This window comes from Homo sapiens, chromosome 3 (assembly GCF_000001405.40).
Source record: "Homo sapiens chromosome 3, GRCh38.p14 Primary Assembly".
Lineage (NCBI taxonomy): Eukaryota > Metazoa > Chordata > Mammalia > Primates > Hominidae > Homo > Homo sapiens.
Window position 1 is genome coordinate 176,594,849 of NC_000003.12, and position 20,705 is coordinate 176,615,553.

Below are 20,705 nucleotides of genomic sequence, written 5' to 3' on the forward strand. Positions count from 1 at the left end.
TGACCAGCAAAGACTTCAGTCTGGAAAATCGATTTTTCAACTACACTTCCTGAGGACTCACCAGAGCCACAAAGTAGAAGAAACAATAATTCTTCTTTGCCCAGTGTATTGATGAAATGAAATCACATGGTATTTTTATACCCACTAGTATAACTGAGAAATAGTCTTGGAATTGGTTACCTCTTGATAGTTAAAATATTACATTCACTAAGGGAGGGAGGTTGTTTATGTACCATGTGGGGTGATACCACACACATGTATTTTGTTCATTTTGATTTCTCTTAGTTTTGTTCAATAAAAGCTGAACTGCCAGGCCAGAGTTTCTTCAAAAGCTTTAAGGAAAGTCGGAGAGGGAAAATAAACTATGGTTTCATCTCAATGTTGTAGTATACAACACAAAGACAAAACATGGGTCCAGCCCCCAAGGAATAGTAATTCAGAGATGGTTGCATCCTGCAACAATGTCTTAAATAATAAAAATAAAGAATTGTTTTAGTCAAAGTCTGCTGTGTTTCCATTTTAATAGTCTTGCATCTGTATTACTGCATGCCACCATGTGTGGCAGGTAGATGAGAAATACTTCTCAGTTCCTCATAAAGCACAATGGTGTTGAAGTGCTGAGGGTTCCCTTGCATGCATATCCAACCACTCAGCAGGAAAGTGATCTCTTAAGCATCTTAAAAAGAATAACATCTCCACCAAGGAACACTGATTCTGAGTCATCTTCCTTTAGCACTTCAACAAGCAAAAGAAGAAGAGTTTTATCTTTCCTTATACTCTCCAGTCTCCTTTGGAGTCTTTTCTCATCCTTCCTGGCTTTTTTACCCATAAATAATTCAACAGGTAAATTCCTTTAATGACACGGTCACATGCCATCTGGAATCATTAATTAAGATATATTTACATTAAAAACTTTATCTTACCTATCCTTTAGTAACAGAATTTTTATGTTATTTTTAACTTTTAGCATTAGATTTTCTTTCTTGTGAAAAAATTAATAACTCAGCAGCTCAGTAATTTTAACACTATTATTAGTTTTCAACAGATGGTGAATTTTACAAGATTATTTTCTTTATTAGTTTTCATATTGGGCTAGATTTGGACAGCACTGAATACTAGGTAATTACTTAGGTTTTATCTCTATAAGAAGTTTGCAGGTTTCTTAGAGACAGGGTTTATTATTAATGGACTTATTTTTAAAGTGCTATAGTACACGGCAGTAACTAGTTTGTCTTCCATAATGATATTTATTGTTTCTTAGGCCGGGTGCGGTGGCTCATGCCTGTAATCCCAACACTTTGGGAAGCCGAGGCAGGTGGATCACCTGAGGTCGGGAGTTCAAGGCTAGCCTGACCAACGTGGAGAAACCCCATCTCTACTAAAAATACAAAAAAATCAGCCAGATGTGGTGGTGCATGCCTGTAATCCCAGCTACTCAGGAGGCTGAGGCAAGGGAATCACTTGAACCCAGGAGGCAGAGGTTGTGGTGAGCTGAAATCGTGCCATTACACTCCAGCCTGGGCAACAAGAGTGAAACTCCATCTCAAAAAAAAAAAAAGATATTTATTGTTTTTCTGTATCTCAAATCTGTCTATGTTAGTCTCTGACACTTATAAATCATTTCAATACTCTTTGTTATCTACCTTTTAGCATCCATTGAATCCTTCTTTAATCTCTAGTTATTGTAGTAGGTTTTAAAACTGTTACATGAGAGGTGAGGAGGTCTGAATTTTAGGCAGGAATGGCACTGACTTTTTAAAGAAACTTGATTTATTTGGACTTCAGTATCCCCCTAGGTTTAAAAAAAAAAAAAAAAGTTGGCCGGATGCGGTGGCTTGTGCCTGTAATCCCAGCACTTTGGAAGGCTGAGGCAGGTGGATCATGACGTCAGGAGATCGAGACCGTCCTGGCTAACACGGTGAAACCCCGTCTCTTACTAAAATACAAAAAATTAGCCAGGCATGGTGGTGGGCGCCTGTACCCAGCTACTCAGGAGGCTGAGGCAGGAGAATGGCATGAACCTGGGAGGCAGAGCTTGCAGTGAGCGAAGATCAGCCACTGCACTCCAGCCTGGGTGACAGAGCAAGACTCCGTCTCAAAAAAAAAAAAAAAAAAAATGTTTAATGTGCTAGGTTGTATATATGTAAAGTTACTTCCAGTGCTAAAATCCTAAGTTTTATAATTAAATTTCATAAGGTTAGATCAATATTCAGTTGACAATTGAACAACACAGTTTTGAATTGCACAGATGCAGTTATACATGGATTTTCTTCCACCTCTGTCACCCCTAAGACAGCAAGACCAACCCTGCCTCTTCCTTCTCTTCTTAGTCTACTCAGTGTGAGGACAACGAAGATGAAGGTCTTTATGATAAACCATTTTCACTTAATAATAGTAAATATATTTTCTCTTATAATTTTCTCAATAACATTTTCTTTTCTCTAGCTTACTTTACTGTAAGAATACAGTATATAACACATATAAAAATACGTGTTAGTCAACTGTTTATGTTACTGGTAAGGCTTTCAGTCAACAGTATGTCTTAGAGGGTAAGTTTTTGGGAAATCGTAAGTTATATGTGGATTTTCAACCTGGTTTATTCAAGGGTCAATTGTATATGCCTATCTTGCCCAGTTAGTTCAGAATATTCAAAATTAAAATTACATGAAAGGTCAAAATAGCATTTAAGCTTCCAAACAATAATAGCATGTAAGCACATATACTTTCTTAGAAAACTCTGCAAGTACATGTGCTTTTCTTTAGATGATAAAATCTTGCTTTTATAAGAATAATGTTCTTCTGCAAAATAGATGTTCCAAAGGTAGAACTGGAATCGATGGTTATAGTTTGCAAAGAGATAGATTCAACTTCAATCTATCAAGACCTTTCTAACAGTCAGAGTTTTCCAATAAATGGATTGACTACCCATGGGGTATTAAATTAGCCTCTCCAGGGAATTCAGGTAGAAACCAACTAACCACTTGGCATTAATGAGAAATTGGACTAAGGATCTTTAACGTTCTTTCAAATTCTGTAGTGAGGGGATTTAAGACCCAGTCAGGATTTCTGAAGTTATTATTTTTTTTTAAATGTCTCTTTCTAACAATCAGATGTTTTAGCAGATAGAAAAGGCTTTTTAAAAAATCAATTTTTCATACTGCTCAGCCATTTAGGATAAAGACACTTTTAAAGATCAAAGACTTACAGAGGGTTTGTTATGTACTTTTTTTTTTTTTTCCTAAAAAGGGATAAGTATCTGCCAGAGCCCGTATAATAAGCTGGATTTATAATATTTTGCCCTACAGGGGAAAAAAAAGTTTGTTGTAGTAGGAGGAAACTACAGCCCACTGTCTGGTAGATTAGATGGACAGTCCTATGAATCTTAATAGGCATTGTCATCCATATACAAAGTCATTCCCAGACAAATGCATTAAAGACATGGAGAACACATGACTTTAGCACATATGTTGTTATTATCCAGAGAAACAGTTGTAGTCCATTTCGATCCAAATAGACAAGGGATAAGGAATGCAGGCCATCATGACAGTGGCTCCTTTCCGTCTCTTCCCAATTCTACATCATTTAGAGATGTATTTTTAGAGCACATGGAACAATTGGTTTATGTTCCATAAATAATGATGCTATATTTACATCTCTTCAGACCCAGTCTGAAATCATGTCTACCTGTGTCTCTGGCCTGTAGAGACTTAAACATAGCTTGGCTCAAATAAGATCTCAACTCCTTTATCACCATAGCAGAAATAATTAATAAGAAACTTTATTCCCTGTACTTAGAAAAGCACCTGAAAAATAGCTTCAGAGCTTAGAACCAAAGACAAAAGGTTGTGATCCTGGGATTAAACTGCTTCTCAGAGATCAGATGCCTCCAAGAAGTATGGTAGGTTTCTCTGACTACAGAAGACCAGGAGATGGAAAGGCTAACCCTGAAATGAGGAAAGAGCAGTAAAAGCAGAGATCAGGGAATAACTATCTGCAACTTAACAGGGCCTGAAAACCTACACAATTATGCACCAGTAATTCAGACACTCAAGTAAGGTTCTTGCTGTTTACAATACTGTATATGACAAACCTCAGCCCAGCAAGTCCAAGAAAAAATGTCAACTAAGCTAAAGGGGCTGAAAAGCTAGAGTTGATCCAGAAAAATAATCAGAATACATATCCTGTGATATAGAACTGCTAGAGGAGATAACTTAGGATCTGAATGAAAATATATTCACTTGAGAATTTTTCAAGTGAAACGTGAAGACCTCCTGGAGCTAAAAGTTACAATTTCCAAATTTAAAAAATTCAACAGATGAGTTGAAGGATAAAGCACTATTGAGGCCCAAATTAGTGATTTGGAAGGTTAAGTGTGAGAACTCTCACATTGTCTTAAAATACAGAGCAAATTAAGGAGATGAAAATCACCAGGTAAAAATAAAATAAGACAATTAAAAAGTAAATGCAGAAGAACTAACATAAGAATATTTTGTTAGCTCCAGAGGAAAAACAGGAGCAGATGGAAGAAAAGAAAATAAACTAATATTAGAAGGAAAATTTCCCAAGGAAAGGAAGAGACCTGAGTCTAAAAATTCAAGGGACTCACTAAGGGCTGGATTGATGAGAAAAGACGTGCAACTAAGCATGCCTTGGTAACTTCATGAACTTGGAAGATACATTTTTTAAAAATTTCACAGACTTTCCAGCTGAAAGAATCACTTAGCTAATAAAGGGAAATTAAAGCCAAACTGAGGATGACTAGAAAATAGAGGAGTAGAAGCAATCTGGCTTCACTCTCCTCCACAGAAAACCACCACCAACTACCCAGTGCCAAAATTATCACCAGCAATATTCCAGGACTCAAAACTGAGTCTGTGATAATCCCAGGGGCCACAGAGAAGTGAAAAACTATGAGCAGAAAGTAAGATAAATGGAACTGTCTAGCCATAACACCTCTCGCCTCTCGCCCAAACTTCCAGGCACTTCATGGAAAAGTCCTCCTGGACTCACTGGAAAAAGTGAGCTTGAGGCAGACATCCAGCTTCCCCATGACCTTGAGTTCCTTCACAGGAAAACTGTTCCTGCTTCAATCTATGGAAAGCATCAAGAGTGCCTGTAGGGTGAATAATTCTGAGGGCAGCTGGAAATAAAGAGTGGAGGTGGGGCTAGTAACCCCCGGCATGAGAAACTCAGTGGCTGCTCTTCATGTCAGCCAAAGGAGATGCCAAATCAGAGATGCTGTTCAGCAGCACCACGCTGTAAGAGGCATGCTCCATAGGTCCTCTGGACACAAACCCCTAGCCAGTCTTCTCACACAGCCAGAGTACCCCATCGGGGATGGGCAGTGCTCCAAACTTTTGTGAGGGCCACAGTAAACCTGGACTTAGTGTCCTATCAAGTGCCTAAAAGGAGGCAGCAGTCTTGAACTAAAGGAACCCAATAGTCAATCTGCATAAAACCTTTAGACAGGTATACTTGTAAAAGACCAAGCCAAGCCAGACAACAAAGACTGGAATAACTAACACTTCCATGTGAAGACATGACATATGTTTATTAAAAAAAAGAGAGAGAGAGAGAGAGAAAACAGGGAACCATGACATTCACAAATGGAAAAAACAATGACCCAGTAACCAAACCTAAAGAGATAGTAATGTGAGATTTTTCAGATCAAGAATTCAAAATAGTAATTTTGAGGAAACTCCAGAAGCAATAAAATGGCAGTAGTAAGTCTTTACCTATCAATGTAAATGTAATAAATTATCCAATCAAATTCATACTAGTACCAGACATCTCACCTTCAATCCAGAGTGAATAATAGCCAGTGGAATAGCATTCACAGAACCACTGAAAAAAAAATGATTATAGTCCAAGAATCCTACATGCAAATGATAAATTAATTACAGGTTGAGGTGAAAGAAAAATATTTTAGGAAGTACAAGACATCAGAGAATATATCACCTACGTACTACCTCTGAGGAAAACACTTTAGAAAATTTCCTAATCAAGAAAAAAAAATCAATAAATGTTAGTTATTCCTAGTATTGTTACTAAATGATCTTACCAAAAATAAAGAAATTAGGTAAAAGAGTAGTAAATGTAATCCAAGTGTAACAATAAATAGGATTTTAAAAAATACTTTCAAATTAATAAAGCGGAGGGCTAGCAGACGGAACAGAAACTTGACCAAAGCAGAAACAATAAAGAAAAATAAAATATAGAAATAAAAACAGAATTTTTGAGATCGATACATAGATATCACCATGGAATACTCTTCAGCCATAAAAAGGAATGAAATAATGGCATTTATAGCAACGTGAATGGAACTGGAGATCATTATTCTAAGTGAAGTAACTCAAGAATGGAAATCCGAACATCGTATGTTCTCACTCATAAGTGGGAGCTAAACTATGAGGAAGCAAAGACATAATAATGATACAATGGATTTTAGGGACTTGGGGGAAAGGGAGGGATAAAAGACTACAAATTGGGTACAGTGTATACTGCTCAGATGATGGGTTCACCAAAATCTCACAAATCACCACTAAAGAATTTACATGACTAAACACCACCTATTCCCCAGAAACCTATGGAAATTTAAAAAAAAAAAGAAAGAAATTTAAACAGAATCTAAGTAATGAAGAGAAAGTGAGACAAAATAAATTTTAAAAGAGTAGTAGTAGTCAAGGAGTCGGGGGGAAGACCAGCTATAGGCTGTTTCAAAATAAGTAATTTTTTAAAAGCTTAATGAAGTATAAGCAAAGAGGTATCATGTAAAGAAAACCAAACAGAAAGTGGGATGAACTGGGGAGGGGTATACAGTATCAACCAGAATGGGATATAACATTAAATATACTAGTCAGATAAAATGGATATTATATAATTATGAATCAGTTAGTACAAGATAGTGAAAAAAGTGGCTGTGTAGTTGTCATAAACATGTATATAACAACCAATATAGCTGGTAGCTCACAAAATCAAACCTTTTTAAGGTGCCAGGATAGCAAAGAATAAAAAGTTAATTACCGTGAGAGTCTTCAATATGTTTCTGTCAGAAATGGACAGATGTAGTAGGTTTGAGTCAGATAAAAATTGAATAATAGAATTCATTAAATGTGAGCTAACATATATTAAGAACTATACATGCCTCAAAATAAACAAGAGGATTTCAGTAAATGTGTGTCCCTGTAATATTTATAAAAATTAGTCATCTTGGTCACAAAGACAATCCTAGTGATTTTTTTTAAGTAAAGATTTTACAGCCACATTCTCAGCATAATACAATTAAAAATTAATAGACCTAGAAAAAATTGTAATACAACAAATAGACAAAAGGCTCATATCAATGATATATGAGCCATTATAAATTGACATAGAGAAGAAAATATCCCAACAGAAAAAAATGGCAAAGCATATGAATGAGCATGCACAGAGAAGATATTCAAGGTCTTAAAACAAGGCAAACATGCTCACATTTACTGATTAGCAAAATAACTGAATAAAATACTATGTATCTACGCCCTGGAAAAATGTACAGACATTCAAAGCAAAGAATTAGAGACTACTTATTTGAGTTGGAGGGATTTCCATTGCATATTATTTTTAAAAAGCAAGATAGTCAAATCTACAGAGACTTGGGGGAAAGGGTGGGAAGCGGGGGGTGAGGGATAAAAGTCTACAAATTGGGTGCAGTGAAAGTACCCAATACAAGTAGACTAATGGTCATCAAGGGCTGGGGATGAGAACAGGGATTAACTATTGATCCCAGCAGAGATCATATTGGGGTAATGAAAAACAACTGATTTCATGGAGACAGAGAGTAGAATATTGGCTACTAGAGGCTGGGAAGGGGAAGGGGATCAAGGTGGAGGGGAAAAAGTGAGGATGGTTAATAGGTACAAAAGTATAATTAGATAGAATGAATAAGGTCTAGTATTTGATAGCGCATCAGGGTGACTACGGTCAACAGTAATTTATTGTATATTTTAAAATATTGAAAGAGTGGACTGGAATGTTTCTAACACAAAGAAATGATAAATTCTTGAGGTGATGGATACCCAGTTACCCTGATATAATTATTATACGTTGTGCTCTGTATCAAAACATCACATGTGCCCCATAAATATATATAACAATTATGTACCCATAATAATGAAAAAATGAAAAATTTTTAAATCATGTTTGGGAAGTGATTAAGTCATGAGGGCTCCACCCTTGTGAATGGGATTAATGATTTTATAAAAGGGGTTTCCAAGAGCTGCCTGGCCCTTCCATCTCTCTGCATGTGAGGATACAGCATTAGTCTCTTTTTGCCCTTCTGCCATGTAAGGCTGTAGTGAGAAGAGGACATCTTGGAAGAAGAGAGCAGCCTTCACCATACACTAACCCAGAGTCTGCTGGCATCCTGATGTTAGGCTTACCAGTCTCCAGAAGTGTGGAGAAATACATTTCTGTTTTTTATTTTAAAAATAAAAATAAATAAAATACTTAAGTAGAGGCAGTATAATATTATGTACATACAAGTTAGTTTATGATCCCACTGTAGGGACTGACAGTTTCCCTAATAATAAATTCATATTCCAGTGAAGGTTCTATAAAGTCTTATCATAAATCCACAAATCAGAAGTGACCATTCCAAGTGCTTCTGTTTTCCACATCTTGATTATCACCTAAACATAGAAAATGTCAGAAAAATGATTTTACTGGTAAAATTATTGGTTTAATTAACATGGAAAATGTTAGAATTGGGCTTGTATTGGTAAAATTAAATATATTCAATAAATGTTTATTGGGTAAAATACTATGAGACCCATCCTCCCTCCAATCCCTCGCATGAGCAAAATAGAAGACAGTGGTGTGTCTTCTGAATTCCTAGGAAAGATATCAAAGTTTGCCCAATAAGCAGACCTATGCCCAACCTTTGCAAATCAATGTGACTATTAGAATATCAAAAGCCAGCTTCCAGAGATCCTGTCGTGTTATCCTGAGTGACCCTTTCATCTAGTATGGAGGTTGAAGAATTTAAAAGAACAAAGAGCCGTGCCTTCTTCAAGCTGACAGACCCAGTTATAGAAGCTATTTTCTGCCTGCTTACTAATGTTTGGTTGTTTAGTAAATGTCTTTATGTGTGTAAAAATTTTGTCGGAGATTTCTTTCATTAAAACCTGAAAGTAAGATTGTGGGGGACTGCTGACTCTCACCAGCCACATCAAACTAGTTGCTACCATTCTCAACCAAAGAACCTCTTCAGAAAGAAATTAGCTGTGTCAGTTCCCAACAATAAAGAAATAAAAGTATCTTTTAAAAAAGAAAACTATATAGATTATCTCTTTATTAAAAGAATAATGCCATGAGTATACACAAACAAAACTTTCATATTAAAGTTTTGGGAGGTCACAGGTTTGCCCATTTCCATTCATAGACTACTGGGTCTACTGCCAACAGGTAAGCCCTCGAACCTTAGATATAGTCATGCAAATTCAACCCTTACTTGAGTAGACAAGATGTGAAAGTTGAAGGACACAGGTAGGATCCCTGATTCTATTCAATTACAGTATTCCAGAAGTAAACTTTTTGGAGGCAGACTTTTAACAATGTACAAGATAGGATAGTTTTCTGATCACAGAGATTTGCATTTCTTTCTCTGCGGGTACAGACCAGTGTATATGTGTCCATTTGGCTGGTTTTCCATTATGGCCGACTAGTGAATGCTAAGATTTCATAATGAGAAAGTCACTGTAGAAGTTTCCTTTCTTGCTTGGGTTTTGAAAAGCAGGAACATGAATGAGGAAATGACCAAAATCTTCATCTCAGTGGAAAACATACAGTAAAGGAGGCAATCCTAAGAAATAAAGGAAATTAAATTAGAAAAGGAATGGATAGAAGTACCTTGAACTCATGATTGGAGATTTTTATTTAATTAAAATGAGACCACTGAGAGGGTTTTGATTAGTTCAATGGGTGATCTTCTTCCACAGAAGTTACTAAAAAGACAAAAATAACTGGCAATTTCAAGCTAATGGAGGAAAGTCGGATGTCTGAGAGCAAATGAAGAGAAAAAAACGTAAAATGATAGTGGCTGTATATGAAATTGAGAGCATAATAGAAGAAAAGGGAAATCTATTTAAAGACATTATTTAGGAAGAAACAACAAGATCTGTTGATAGTGAACAAAAGATAAATTTCCCATTGATGTAAGGTGAAACAAACACACACTTCATCCATCCACCAGCATCTCATGAATCTTCTAAAAGTGCTACTTCCACCATGTTATCTTTCTGTCCCCAAAAGGGAGAGCTTTAGTTTAGAATCTTAGAATAAGGTCTAAATTCCTTATCTTGAAATTTAAGACTTTCTGTAGTATAGTCCCAAATTCTCTTTTTCAAAACTACCTTTAAAAATAATTCTGATAAAGGAAGATATTTATGCAGCCGACAAACATATATATATATATATATATATATAAAAGCTCATCATCACTGGTCATTAGAGAAACGCAAATCAAAACCACAATGAGATACCATCTCATGCCAGTTAGAATGGCAATCATTAAAAAGTCAGGAAACAACAGATGCTGGAGAAAATGGGGAGAAATAGGAAGGCGTTTACACTGTTGGTGGGAATGTAAATTAGTTCAACCATTGTGGAAGACAGTGTGGCGATTCCTCAAGGATCTAGAACCAGAAATACCATTTGACCCAGCAATCCCATTACTGGGTATATACCCAAAGGATTATAAATCATTCTACTATAAAGACACATGCACACATATGTTTATTGCAGCACTGTTCACAATAGCAAATACCTGGAATCAATCCAAATGCCAAACAATCATAAACTGGATAAAGAAAATATGGCACTATTACACCATGGAATACTATGCAGCCATAAAAAAGGATGTGTTCATGTTCTTTGCAGGGACATGGATAAAGCTGGAAACCATCATTCTCAGCAAACTAACACAGGAACAGAAAACAAAACACTGCATGTTCTCATTCATAAGTGGGATCCGAACAATGAGAACACAGGGACACAGGGAGGGGAACATCATATACTGGGGCCTGTCGGTGGGTTGGGAGCTAGGGGAGGGATTGCATTAGGAGAAATACGTAATGTAGATACTTGATGGTGCAGCAAACCACCGTGGCACGTGTATACCTATGTAACAAACCTGCATGTTCTGCACATGTATCCCAGAACTTAAAGTATAATAAATAATAATAATAATAATAATAATAATTCTGATTGCAGGAGTCTTGTGAGTTTCTGTTCCACAACTCAGAAGCAGATTTAAAACTAATTTTATATAATTCAATCCTGATCAAGAGCAGGGCTTTCTTATCCCACTATCTTTCTAAGTGTTCCACCTTCTGTTCTAACATACAGAGATGTACGAGGATGTGAGTTAGATAAATCAGTGAATGTACTTCACATTCAGGTGGAAAACTTTGTGGGATGGATCTGCAGGTGGGACGGGCCTGGGCCGAGACATAAGCACAGGTGAGCTAAGCAATTGACTTTGGTCTATGGCCTGACCATGTGCTGTATTGGCCTCACTAAAGGCTATGTCTCTCTTGCAAGAACTTTCATTTCTTCATTTCACTCTCTCCTGTCATTGGAAGCCCAACTTTTCTTCTCTCAGCTTCTCGTTACTTTTTCACTCATCCGTGTGAGTTGAGAAACCATCGACCTGTATGATGGTTGAGTATTTGTAACCATTATGGCTCCTCAGTGAACAACTGCAGACTCCCATCTAGCTCTGACACAGTTCCAGCTGGAGAAAATAAGAGGTCCCTGTGGGGTACAAGTAAAAGGAGGAAACCGCAAAAATAACCATGAAATAGTTATTGCCATGAAGTTACTTCATATGTCCTTAATTTTACACGTAATTGATTCTTTCTTCAGCAAGAAATGTTTCACTGTTTCCTTGGTATTTTGGTCTGCTTTTGGGGTCTAAGCCACACTTCTAAGACTCTTAGCTTTTCCATTGCCTCATTTCATTATCTTTATTCCCATTCCACTTCAAACTTATGGCCATGTCCTAAATACTTACATCATCACAATTTTTCTCTACCCAATATATTAGGTTAGTGCAAAAATAATAGTGGTTTTTGCCATTAAAAGTAATGGCAAAAAATGGTAATATTAAATGTAACCACCCTGACACAATGCCATAAGATAAATTTTCAACCCTGCTTCATCCCAAAGTCTGCCTTCTTCATATTTATACCTGGACTGCTGATTCATCACTGCTAGAGAAAAATCACACAACCACTGAGATTGATACCATTAAAAATTCATGGCCTCCAACTCTAACTGTCCAGAAATCCTGCAGTTCTTCTCCAGGCAAATCTCTTTCCTATTGTCCACAGTGACTATTTTTATACTTCTCCACCTTCCTCAAACCTCTGAACCAGATGCTGCTCACTTCATTCTCAACAAAAGACCTAACCTGCTGTTTACAAAGAAAATAGAAACCTGCTGCGGGGCGCGGTGGCTCATGCCTGTAATCCCAGCACTTTGGGAGGCCGAGACGGGCGGATCACGAGGTCAGGAGATCGAGACCGTCCTGGCTAACACGGTGAAACCCTGTCTCTACTAAAAATACAAAAAATTAGCCGGGCATGGTGGCGGGCGCCTGTGGTCCCAGCTACTTGGGAGGCTGAGGCAGGAGAATGGTGTGAACCCGGGAGGCAGAGCTTGCAGTGATCCAAGATAGTGCCACTGCACTCTAGCCTGGGCGACAGAGTGAGACTCCGTCTCAAAAACAAAACAAAACAAAACAAAACAAAACCTGTTGTGTGGAATTACCTCAATTCCTCCACCACACCCATAACCTCGTCTGTTTCTGACTATATACCCATATTCTATCCTCCTTCCCTTGCTATAAATGCAAAAATTAACATATGTCCTCACAATGTATTATTCTCTTTTTCATGTATTATTTTGGAGAGGTAAATAGGAGTTTCTGTTGTATAATATTGGAGGCTACCTCCACATTGCCTGACAAGAAGCTGCCTGAGATTAGTGGCTCCTCATTCTCCAATGGGAGGGATTTCTATTATTTTCAGCTTCGTACAAGGTGTGCAGGTTCTATCACGCCAGGGATTTGATATCCATGATAGCAGGTAGCCAGCTGCAAGATATCTGTCTGTGACTCCTTGAGTAGTTGGTATGCAGATCTATACTGCATATTATTTGCTCTCTCCACTTAGTACAAAGGATAATAACAGGAGAGTTAGAGCCCCTTCCCAAGAGCATTGCTCTACTGTGGGTCCAGCTGTGCCCAGGAATAAGGCATATGCAGATCTAATGCATTTCAGCATATAGTCTCTTCTTTAATCATTGTGCAAGAATAAGTAGGGTCATCTTGCTCCAGGAATACAAGTTTACTCACACCATCCATACTGTTAAGTGTGTCCCCAATCATTCGTATCTGACAACCTCTCCTAGGGAGTAAAGGTATTACTACAAGATGCCGGAACTAACATCTGTGACCTTCACCTCAGTTTTAAGATGTTTATCTAGTGGTGTGGTGGGTCTCACTCTGTATCTTACCTCCTTTAGGGCTGTTGACATCATGTAAGAGACAGTTCCAGGTCACTGGCAATGGGAAAATTCCCAAGATGGAGCTAGGTGCTCCGCTCATTCTGACATCAAGATTTACCACCACAACATGCAGGGTTTTTGTTTTGTTTTGTTTTGTTTTTTGTCTTGTTTTGTTTTGCTTTGAAATAGGATCGTGCTCTGTCACCCAGCCTGGAGTGCAGTGGTGCTATCATGGCTCACTGCCGCCTTGACCTCCTGGGCCCAAGTGATCCTCCCACCTGGGCCTCCCTAGTAGCTGGGACCATGGGCGCATGCCATCACACCAGGCTAGCTTTTGTATTTTTTGTAGTGATGGAGTTTTGCCATGCTGCCCAGGCTGGACTTTAACTCCTGGGCTCAAGTGATCCTCCCACCTCAGCCCCTCAAAATGCTGTAAGTACAGGCCCGAGCCTGAGACACGCAGTTTTGATAAACTGTACCCAGCAACATGCAGTCCTGATAAACACCAAAGTGACATGAATCATAAAAATCACAGCTCAAACCATTTCATAATCACAAAAGGAGCCCAAAGCATTAATAAAAGAGAACATAAGATGTTGAAAAGTGATAACAGCCCTTCCTAGGAGAACAAATAGAAGGACAACCAAAACCCTGATGGGCTAACCAAAGACTTCAATGGTTCAGGCACAATTTTGTTTAAAAATCTCACTTTTTAAACCATCCCCAGGATAAGAAATTTATTTCCTGGCACCCCATCAGCACTGATTCATTAAGATGGGCAGCTGGCACCCGCTTTGATTCTGCCTCTACCTATGAGGTAGTAGATGATTCCAGAGAGACTTTCCGTGGAACAGCAGGCAGAAGCTAACTGCATGGTGGTCCAAGAGCCTAAGAAGCAGATTCTACCTGGTGCTGTTTTTTTTTTTTTTAACATATCCATACACTTGATAATAAATTATTAGTATCCATCTTCCACTGGCTTACAGCATGTCATTTCTTCACATTTCTACAATATGTTGCTCGAACTTCACTATCATTTGGATTTTAGTTTACTTTTATTCGGGTGTTTTTTTCCTTGATTTCACATTTTTCTCACGTGAGCTGCGAATACAACTAGACTTCAAACTAGAGCATTTGATCTCCCCTTGTGCTTAACTTTCCAGGAAGATGTCGCAATTGCCCCTGAACAATAATCAAAAGGCACTTCTCTCTCTTCCTCTGAAAAATCACAGCTCCTGGGTGGGGAAGTGAGTGGAGATGTTACATCTCTCACATCCTTACTTTAGTTTCAAGAGTGAGAAGAGATGAAAGAAGATGAAAACAGACTTCAAAACACACAGAAAACTCCTGTATTTACAAAGGGGAAAAATGATGGCGTTCAAAACACTACAGAGCAACGTAAGCAGTATCTCCAACTCCCAAACAAATAAAAGAACCTTTCACAAAAGAAATCGTATGTGACCCGAGACAATAAACCTCTGTACAGTTCAGAAGTTGGTTTTATAGCTAAAATAGTCAGGCTTTGCCTCGACATACCCACAGTTCTGGAACATGAAACTTTTCAATACCCATCATGTTCAAATTATTGCCACCCCATAATTTCCTCAATCCCATTTCACTGAAGTGGAATGTTTTATGCATAGCAGCCATTTTAAATCAAGAGGGGCAGGAAGTTACCTATACAGTCTGTTATGAACTTCCTAAACTTAAGTAAGATATTTCAATCCCATGCAAGGAGAAACCAGTGGTGAATTTATGATATGAGTTTTGTCTTTTAATTAAGAACTTAAAAAAGAGTTGACAAAGTTTTTTTGAAAGTGAGAAGAGGCAAAATAGATCTATTGGAGAGAGTTTCTGAGTTGGAGAGTGGAGTACAGGCAACCTTACGAAGAGCTCGGACCTGGGAATCAGCATTTGCTGTAACTTGTAGTGAATGTCAGGGAAGAGTAGGTGGTGGAGAGGGACAGATTGGGCAGGTGGAATTTAATGTCTAGAGACACATGGTGTCTTTTGGCACAACTGGTGATTATCATCATCAGAGAGGCAACTGGGTGGGGTGAAGTCTCTGTAGGTAGAGGGTGCATGCAATGGGATATCTGGGATGCTGGCCAACAACAGGGAAGACTGGCAACAAGGAAAGAACCTCAACTCCTGGACTGTTGTGTGATTTAATAACTGAAGGAGAATGGAAGGAGCAAGGCAGCATTTCAATACAAATGACAACAATTACTAACAATAATAGATTTGCTAAAACACTGGGAAGGATTGAGTCTTGTACTTCATAGAGGAAACTGAAACTTGAACTACATAGCCTTCCCAAATTCTCTCAGCTAGTGGGTCCCAGAGCCAGATTTATCAAAAGGCAGATCTACTTAGATCCAGAACTCATAAGCACCATGGTGTATTTTACTGAGCTAGAAAGAGCAGAGGTGCAGGGAACTTGGGAAATGATGCACAAGGTTGTGATCCACATATAAGTAAATAGCAGTTCCTGTTTTCATAATGTTAAACGTAAGGAAACATAAGTAAAAGTCTACGGCATTCTAGAATTTACGTAGCACTTTCACTTGGGTTGTCTCAAAACCAAGATAGAAACCTAGACAATCAGGTTCAGTGTCCAAAGACCTAACAGAATCAGCAAGGTTCTGTCTAGGATGACTTGAACATTAAGCCATCCTTTAAAAAACATCTACAAGAATACACAGGAGAAATTTTTTAAGACCTTGGATTAGGCAAAGGGATTTTAGGTATGACACCAAAAGCATGAGACCCAAAATAAAAAATTGTTAAATAAGGCTTATTCTCTTAATAGTGTTAAGAGAATAAAACAGCAAGCATATTTAAGTAATTTATTTTCAAATCACATATCTGACAAGTGACTTGTATCCAGAATATATATGTATATGACTCTCAGAATTCAACATTTTAAAAAATCTCCCAATTTTTAAAATGGTCAAAGGTTTTTAAAAAATGCTTCACCAGAGAAAATATACAAATGGAAAATAACCTTAGTGTCATTAGTCATTAGGACAATGAAAAAATTAAAACCACAATGCAATACAACATACAACTATTTAAATAGCTGAAATCGATAGAACTAACAGTCATAAGTCTGGCAATGAGGCAGAGCAACTGGAACTCTCACACATTGCTGGTAGGAATGTAAAATGGCACAGCCACTTTGGAAAACAGTTTGGCTGTTTCTTCTAAAATTAAATATACACTTACCGTATGACCCGCAATCCCACTCCTGTTTATACACAAGAAATAAAAACTTATATTTACCAAAATAGCTGTATGTAAGCTAATGTTTTCAAGTGCTTTATTCATAATTGCTAAAAGCTGAAAACAACCAAAATGTCCCCCAATTAGTGAAACAGTTGCACATACATTCAGTGCAACATTGCTCAGCAATAAAAAGGAACTACTGATATGTATGACAACGTCAATGATCTCAAATGCATTATGCTCTAAGTGCAAGAAAACCCATTCAAAGACTATACACTGGATGACTTCATTTATATGACATTCTGGAAAAGGCAAGAACTGTCAGGCAGAGAACAGATCAGTGGTTCCCAGGGATTGAAGTGGAGGAGGGGCCAATTACAAAAGGGCAGCATGAGAAATTGGTATGTGTGTGTGATGAAACTCTTTAGTAGCTTGATTGTGGTGGTGAACACAGGACTCTACCTACTAGCAAAATATATACTACTGTACCCCCCCCCAGAAAAGTTTACTGTGAATTGAAGAATAAAAAATCGTAAACATTAAAAACTGATTATATATATATATATTTTACTTTTGCTGAATAAATTCTGTGTGTGTGTATGTGTGTGTGAGAGAGAAAGAGGAAAAGAGAGTAAAGAGAAAGAGATTTTGCCAAAAAAAATGGTTCTTTTATGAAAGTATGGGAAGTACGGACTGTCCCCTCATGCAATGTTTTATGCAGAGTAGCTGTTCAATATGCATTTGTTAAGTCAAAATGAATAATAGAATAACAAAGTATACCAGTTACTTCAAATTAATTTCACTTACAAAATATAAATACCAAAATTAAACAATTAATGATATTTATAACTGTCTCAGTAATGATTCACGTTGAGATCTTTGAACTTATATCACTCTCAACACACAAAACTTGCAAAGTTACATAAAAGCAACAAAGCCAACTCAATTAATTTATTAGCATATTTAAAATTCAGGGTGCCAATGATAATTTTAGTTGTCACTTTAGGTTATAAAGTAGCAATTTGAAAATCATAATAATGAAAAAGAAGACTAGGACATACATATTATGTATGATTATGATTTTCTGCACATATTAAAATTCATCTTTATTATAATTGATGAATATAAAATATATAAAATTACTTTAGAATGATGTGGATACAATGAAAGTATATCAAAGGAATAATATTTCATATGCTGAATGCATTTTATATTTTATTTTTAATCCAAACTTTTGTAGAATGATTCGGTGCTACTTTAAAAATTAAAGTAGCTTGTAAAGAATACAAATTACAGTCATTATCATGATTTGTTTTAAAAACAGATCATTACAGCTTAAATAACTTTCATGTGAAAGAAATCAACAATAATTCAAAAAGCAAAAGAAAGTATTGAGAAAACAACGTAAGTGTGATATTAGCAGATATATTTCACTTCTGAAGATAGATCAATGTCAAATGAAATTATCTTTTGAAAGCATAAACTTCTATGAATTTATTTTAATTTATAAAATAGCTACAGCTGTTAGTACAAAACTCTAATAGTGTTTATTGACATGCACTGAATTGGGAAAAAAAGATACAGGGAAATGAAAAGTGTACACATTCAATAGAATTTTAAGACGGTGTATATGCCCAAGCTCGCCCAGTTTTAATAGAAAGCAAGAATCTGGTTAATAATGAAGCCCCTCCCTAATCTTAAGAAAGTGCAGCAGAAAATAAAACTAAAGAAAAAAATTATCTCACTTTACAATTGTGTATTTTAGACATTTCAATTGCCAGTTTTAATTTTTCCTTGCAACATGAAGCTTTGTTTTCAAGATAGCTAGTGCAGCCTCACATATTAATACTTATGTTGTTATTTCTTTTGGTAGAGACTTGACAAATATTCCTAACTGAACAGTGGAACAACAAGGATATGGAACTTATATCCAGCAACTTTTTTTTGTCCAGAACAACTAGTTCGGAGTTTGCCTATGAGTCAGTAATGTATTTTATGGTGATTACTAATATTTTCTTAGGAGTTCAATAAATATTTGGACAAAAAACAGACAAAAGTTACATTAACTTACCTAAAGTACAGAACTAAATAAAATATTTTGAGAAAATGTTAACTCATGTCACACATCCAAGATGATGATGATAAATTATTTGTAATGGATTGATTGTTATTGGTGCCACAATACAGATGGAATTCTCCTCCTATAAAACCTCATCTAACAAGATTTACATTTCCTTTTACCTTTTTCTATAAAAGTGGTTAATGGTCATGTATCTAGACTGTGACAAGTAAAGATACTGACTTTATGAAAAATCACAGATTATATTCAGCACCTAGCACAGTGACTGGCCCACACTAGTACTCAATGGAAGTTTATCGGACTGATGCGAAATGTGAATAAATTCTATGTAAAAAGAACAAAATTATGCTCTTAGGACATTATGCTAGAGTCAGTTTTAAGTAAAATGGATATTTTATTTTTGGAGGGTTGGGAATATTCTCATACACTATATGCATGAGCAAAAATTTATACAGATTTTCTGATGGAAATTTACTAAGATTTTTTTAAAGTCTTCAAATGTATATATGCAGTGATCTAACATTCTTAATTCTAGGAATTTATCCCAAGGAAAGTATTTGGAATTTGCACAAAAAAATGCCTATGTTTTTAATAATAGCAAAGACTGGAAACCTTCTTCTAAATATATAATAATAAGTGGTTAAATAAATTATGGCAGACTCACATAGTGAAATATATTTGAACTCATTAAAAATGATGCTTTTTATGGAAGCATGTTTGTTTTATACATTAAGTAAAAATGTAGTTTAAATTGGAATGTATACTGTTATCTCATATCTTGTGCAAATATATGTATGTGCATGTACACATAGAAAAGTGGTACGTACCAAGTTGTTAATTATTGTTGTCTATGGATGGAGGATTTTAATTTTCTTCTTTTTCCTATCTGAATTTTATAATTTTTAAACACTAGATTTTATTTATTGCTATTGAAGTATGAAAATACAAGTAAGAAAGTAAAAAAACTGATGCTTGAAACAAAAGAGTAATATGGCCACTCACCGCCACAAAAATGACTAGTTTGCCCCTCTTCTGGCTAAGCTGAGTGATTGGTACTTCTTTATCAACACAACTCTACCCCTGCTATAATCCTCCCACCAGCTAGACACAATAAATAAAGAAATTCAATCATCACCCATCTCTGTTTCTTTCTCTCTCTCTTTTTTTTAATCCCAAGGACTTCAAAACAAAGTCTCTGTTTCTTGATAGCATTCGATCCAGAATGAGTTTCTGCTTTGTAATCCATCCTTAGAACCATTGGCACAAACCCAACCCCATAAGAAGCTCCTCTCAACACCCCCTTACTGAGGTGCTTTCACAATGACACTTAAATGAACTCTCAGATCCTGCTGCACCAAGAAAAATAAACCCAGCTTTGTGACTCTGAGTATTTGTGGTGGTCTTTGGTTGTTTCTTGTGATGATGATGGTGGTGATAATGATATTGGTGATGTTAGTAGTGGTGGTGGTTGTGATGATAGTGAGGCTGGTGATGATGGTAGAGATGATAGTGATGATAGTGGTGATAGTGATGGTAGTGCACAGGTGTTTTTAAAACTAGTAGTATTTGGGACCCAAGAAACCAAAGAAAAATATTCTCTTTCACATAGACAACAACATTATACTAAGTCCTATGACTTCCAGCACAGGAGAGGCAATCTAGTGAAACAGAAAGAAACTATACTAAGAGTCAGGAGTTATAGGTTCTAGTTCTGGTTCTGCCATTAGTTTACTTTGTTACCTGGAGCTAATCACTCAACCTCTCAGGACCTCATTTAATTCATCTGCAAAATGAAGATTTCTGGATTGACTTCTAAAGTTAACTTTTCGTATCGTGCAGCTTTTTGTCTCTG

General features: G+C 36.6%; 1 long non-coding RNA gene across 1 annotated transcript in view, besides 1 other annotated feature; it reads right to left on the reverse strand.

The window, feature by feature from the left end:
- Window positions 427-928: an enhancer, noted in NCBI's record as "NANOG hESC enhancer chr3:176313063-176313564 (GRCh37/hg19 assembly coordinates)". NCBI's record gives its function as "activates a minimal SCP1, AML or CMV promoter by ChIP-STARR-seq in primed H9 embryonic stem cells {active_cell/tissue: H9 hESC(primed)}" and the evidence as "EXISTENCE:reporter gene assay evidence [ECO:0000049][PMID:30033119]".
- LINC01208 (long intergenic non-protein coding RNA 1208) overlaps window positions 9,300-20,705 on the reverse strand; it is a 31,385-nt gene continuing 19,979 nt past the window's right edge. Inside the window, exon 3 of the long non-coding RNA NR_109968.1 lies at window positions 9,300-9,838. This is a non-coding gene — a long non-coding RNA (long intergenic non-protein coding RNA 1208). The remainder of the gene's footprint in view (window positions 9,839-20,705) is intronic.